Source organism: Homo sapiens, chromosome 14 (assembly GCF_000001405.40).
Source record: "Homo sapiens chromosome 14, GRCh38.p14 Primary Assembly".
Classification (NCBI taxonomy): Eukaryota; Metazoa; Chordata; class Mammalia; order Primates; family Hominidae; genus Homo; species Homo sapiens.
The window spans coordinates 20223710-20228980 of NC_000014.9; the positions used below are offsets into that span (position 1 = coordinate 20223710).

General features: G+C 38.5%; 1 protein-coding gene across 1 annotated transcript; it reads left to right on the top strand.

The window, feature by feature from the left end:
- OR11H6 (olfactory receptor family 11 subfamily H member 6) lies at window positions 1-993 on the top strand. The gene has a single exon (NM_001004480.1). It carries the CDS (start codon window positions 1-3, stop codon window positions 991-993), a length of 993 nt encoding a protein of 330 aa, NP_001004480.1.
- Window positions 994-5271: the final 4278 nt, after the last annotated feature.

Here is a 5271-nt window from a genome sequence, read left to right on the forward strand (position 1 = left end):
ATGTTCTTTATTATTCATTCTTTGGTTACTTCTGTTTTTCTAACAGCTTTGGGACCCCAGAACAGAACAATGCATTTTGTGACTGAGTTTGTCCTCCTGGGTTTCCATGGTCAAAGGGAGATGCAGAGCTGCTTCTTCTCATTCATCCTGGTTCTCTATCTCCTGACACTGCTAGGGAATGGAGCTATTGTCTGTGCAGTGAAATTGGACAGGCGGCTCCACACACCCATGTACATCCTTCTGGGAAACTTTGCCTTTCTAGAGATCTGGTACATTTCCTCCACTGTCCCAAACATGCTAGTCAATATCCTCTCTGAGATTAAAACCATCTCCTTCTCTGGTTGCTTCCTGCAATTCTATTTCTTTTTTTCACTGGGTACAACAGAGTGTTTCTTTTTATCAGTTATGGCTTATGATCGGTACCTGGCCATCTGTCGTCCATTACACTACCCCTCCATCATGACTGGGAAGTTCTGTATAATTCTGGTCTGTGTATGCTGGGTAGGCGGATTTCTCTGCTATCCAGTCCCTATTGTTCTTATCTCCCAACTTCCCTTCTGTGGGCCCAACATCATTGACCACTTGGTGTGTGACCCAGGCCCATTGTTTGCACTGGCCTGCATCTCTGCTCCTTCCACTGAGCTTATCTGTTACACCTTCAACTCGATGATTATCTTTGGGCCCTTCCTCTCCATCTTGGGATCTTACACTCTGGTCATCAGAGCTGTGCTTTGTATTCCCTCTGGTGCTGGTCGAACTAAAGCTTTCTCCACATGTGGGTCCCACCTAATGGTGGTGTCTCTATTCTATGGAACCCTTATGGTGATGTATGTGAGCCCAACATCAGGGAACCCAGCAGGAATGCAGAAGATCATCACTCTGGTATACACAGCAATGACTCCATTCTTAAATCCCCTTATCTATAGTCTTCGAAACAAAGACATGAAAGATGCTCTAAAGAGAGTCCTGGGGTTAACAGTTAGCCAAAACTGAGATATCTTTGAAAAAGAAGCCAAATTGGCCACTTCTGACCTTAATTTTTTATAACTATAGAGAGTAGCTTCAGTAGTATGTTCTGGCTCACACTCAGGTAGACAGACTTATCTTTCACAGTTCCTTAGCAGTTAAATTCAGCTCATTAATGATAAATGCCAATGCTCAATAAAACATTTTAAACATATGTGGCCTCACTGAGTAGTTATGTGGTGGGTGGGTGTATATATACGTATATTATTTTTCTGTGATGTATCTTTGCTAGTTTTAATCTTAGCTGACAGAAGAAATCAATTGCATGTGTACTGAAACCTTTCAAAAGAGTGAGATCTGGCTGGGCACGGTGGCTCACGACTGTAATCCCAGCACTTTGGGAGGCCAAAGCGGGAGGATCACCTGAGATCAGGAATTCGAGACCAGCCTGGGCAATATGATGAAACCCTGTCTCTACTAAAAATACAAAAATTAGCTGGGCGTGATGGCACACACCTGTAATCCCAGCTACTCAGGAGGCTGAGGAATGAGAATTGCTTGAACCTGGGAGGCTAAGCTTGCAGTGAGCTGATATCACGCCACTGCCCCCTAGCCTGCATGATAGAGCAAGACTGCATCTTAAAAAAAAAAAAAAAAAAAAAAAAAAAAAAAGTGAGATATTTTCAATTCAGAAAATATACATATTTTTGTTTGTTTGTTTGTTTGTTTGTTTCTGAGACGAAGTTTCGCTCTTGTTGCCCAGGCTGGAGTGCAGTGGCACAGTCTTGGCTCACTGCAATCTCCGCCTCCCGGCTTCAAGTGATCCTCCTGCCTCAGCCTCCCAAGTAGCTGGGATTACAGGTGCCCACCGCCACACCTGGCTAATTGTATTTTTAGTAGAGATGGGGTCATTTTTGTATTTTTAGTAGAGATGGGGTTTCACCATGTTGGCCAAGCTGGTCTCGAACTCCTGACCTCAAGTGATCCACCCCCCTACCCTTGACCTCCTAAAGTGCTGGGATTACAGGCGTGAGCCACCACACCCGGCCAGAAAATAAATATTCTTAAAGAATATTTGTGTGTCAAGAGGCCACCAGAAAAAAACATAGTAATAGACATCTTCCATTATTTGAGGTTGTCTTTCACACCAAGAACAGAGTATGCTTTAAACCTCTATGCTTCATACCTCTATCCCTTAGACATAAAAACCAAACTCTTTGCCATTCAAGGCCTTCACTCAACACACTGCTCCCTTCAGTTTTCTCTCCTAGTGATCCACTGTACAAGTCTTGCATTTCATGATGATCAGTCCTCAAACATATTTAGTCCCAACTGGGTATCTTTACTCACAGTACTTCCTCTCTAAATTAGTCATGACAACCCCAATATTATTTATACTAGGAATGATGCCCTAAACATATTTTTATTTGTACCCAGCAGTTTTCATGTCAACCACAGAGCAACAGGTGCCTCTCAGAGGCTGTAGGGCAAAGTCTAAGTTAGAAAAATATTCAGAGAAAATTATGTCAAGAACAAATTTCATTTTAGTATCCAAACTCTAGGCTGAAACAAAAAGGCAATCAACTAAGAGTTGAATCTACTTAAAATGAAAACACACCTTTTAGTTATGGCTACCCCACAATGAAATCAGGTGGGGCAAGGAAGATGGGCCTGCCGGTGCTAGGTGATGTAATGCTCCCAAACCGTGTTTGTCAAATCTTTCCACCAAAGCATGTTTAGCAAGAGTGGTCAGAGAACATGGGGTATTGGGGGATAATATTTCTTTAAATTCAAAATTGTATCTCAAAAATTGTCATAAATTATACTTCCTAATTCATAGTACATACATATTTGGTGTGATATAAAATTATCTTTCTAGGTAAAATTGGCCCCTCAGGAAGACATTTAATCTGGGGCTTTTACGTATCCTATAGCACATGCTGTTTGAGCACAACTCAAGGAGACCATGGGGTTTCCTCAGAGTTAATATAACATGTTATTTTTAATAATCCCTACAGGAAATGTTAACAAAAATATCAATTAAACCCCCAGGCAAGATGTATGAAGATCCCTAGGGACAGCACAGAAAGTTACAGAATCACAAGAACATGAAGGGAGACCTGAGAATTCTCAACAGTGCCTCAAATGAGGCATAAATTAAGACCAACACATAGTTCAACACCCTCAGTGAGAAACAAGCCACTAGACTCTTAGGGTACAAGAGAAGTGAAATAAGCCACTGGTGAAGCTCTGACACAGGACTTCCATATTGGAGCCAGTGAAGGAGAGAATCCGTGTGGCCTCCCTGCAGGCTTTCTCAGGGATGACCTAGGAAAGCTTCCTGGTATGTAGGAGAGGTATTCTTCGTTGAGCGTTGCTGCTGTTATACACGACAGATGGACTACTCACCTATACATTTCTTCATTCAACATGCTTCAGAGATTGAGTATCAAAGAATATTGGTCTATCTTTCAGCTCAAAAACCAAAAGAAAAAAAATCCCTCAGAGTGTTGAGATCACCATGCAATTCACACTTTCCAAAAGAAGTACACTAATCATCCACAGGTCTTCTCCTTCTCAGGAAGTGCCTGAGGCACCAGGAATGCTATGACGTTTGTAGAGATTTTGAGCTTAACAGTATGGAACTAGCTTTATCCACTGGGACTAAAACCAAAAGAAAATTGGAATTTTTTTTAATCTTCTCTCTGTTTTCCTCTCTCTGTCCCTTTCATTACTCACTTTGCACCTTCAGGAGAAGTGACATTTAAAAAAAAAGAAAAGATAAAAATAAAATCAATGTTTTTGTGGACTAAGAACTCACATAGATTTAGTGGTGAATATATTAGGAACTGTTTCTTACAAATATGTTGGAAATTATCTGTGAAATTTATTTACCATGCTTTCCCTGTGGCTAATTGTTTTTCTGCAAGGTTTTTGTTTGTTTGTTGTTTTTAATGTCAATGAAAGTAGTCTAAGCTCAAAGAAGCAGCTCGGTCTTGTGCATTTTGATTTTGGGTCAAAGTCTGTGAATCTGAGTTCAAAAACATTGTTGCTCCTTCTCTGTTCCAAGCATAAGTGGCTGCTCCCTGCATCACTGCTTTCTCATCTTGTTGAGGAGAGAGGTTTCTTGCTCGGAAAGGAGAATGTATAGAGGACCCATAGTGGGGAGCCATTCTTTTATGATATCTTACAAAAATGACCATCGATGCAGGTTTAGTTTAGTTCTTCATAATCATCCTAGTTTAAAAAATTAAAAATCACTGATCCCCATCTTGCAGTTTCTTTCTCTTTTTGGCTTCTTGTCCACCAAACCACAACCTTTTGCAAAACCAGCTCTATGAAAAGGTCTATGTTTCCTTCTAGATGGGTAGATTCATAGTTCACCTTGTGCATTACTAACTGCAACAGCTGCATGATCATAAATATATTTCTTATTTAATATAACCTCACTGAATAGGAGGGTTTTTTCTATTTGATTATGTTCAGTGAGTACTGTAAATATATATGCATACAGACAAACACACTATGTATATATGTGTGTGTGTACATATATGTATATACCACCTTGATCAAATACTATATATGTGCTACTTTAATTGAAAAAAATATAAGGCAAATTATCCTCTTAACAATCAAAAAAGTTAAAGGTATCTTGTTAAAATTTTTCTGAAGAGTCCCATATGTTAAAGCTATCATTTACTCTTTTCTTGGAGTTGTATTTGATTCTTGAAAATATATCTTCTTTGGTGATGGTGTTCTAAAGGAAACAAACCAACTCTCGGAAAATGGGTAAATAATTATGTTTGAAATAACACCTTTGATTCTCTTGTATCTTGTTTTTTTGAATATTTGGAGGCTATTATTTTACATGGACTAAAGAAAGATCTTACAAACAGTGAATTTTAGAGAAAATTCTGGCAAAAGTAATAAGAGGAGCTTTAGAAGAAAATATCCCAGTAACTGTAGTTATCTTCGCTATCTTATATGTTATCTTTAATGAAATATTTCTTTTTAAAGGTATATGGAGCATGATAAATTATAATGTGAAATTAATCACCAGGAAATGAATAATTATGACATTTTATTGCTAAAAGCAAATGATTAAATACCAAATTGTAAATAAGCTGTAGTACAATATAAATGTCTCTAAATAGGAAAAAGCAAAATATATAAAGAATTTTATTATCTAAATATCCTTGTTGACTTTCTCCTGGTATCACTAAAAAAATTGGAAGAAAATAAATACTCTTAACAGAAATAGCTCCGGAAAGAAAGAATCTGAAATAATGTCAAAAGTACAAACTA

Coding starts and splice junctions, on each gene's coding strand:
- OR11H6 (NM_001004480.1), top strand. CDS start 1: ATGTTCTTTATTATTCATTCTTTGGTTACTTCTGTTTTTCTAACAGCT.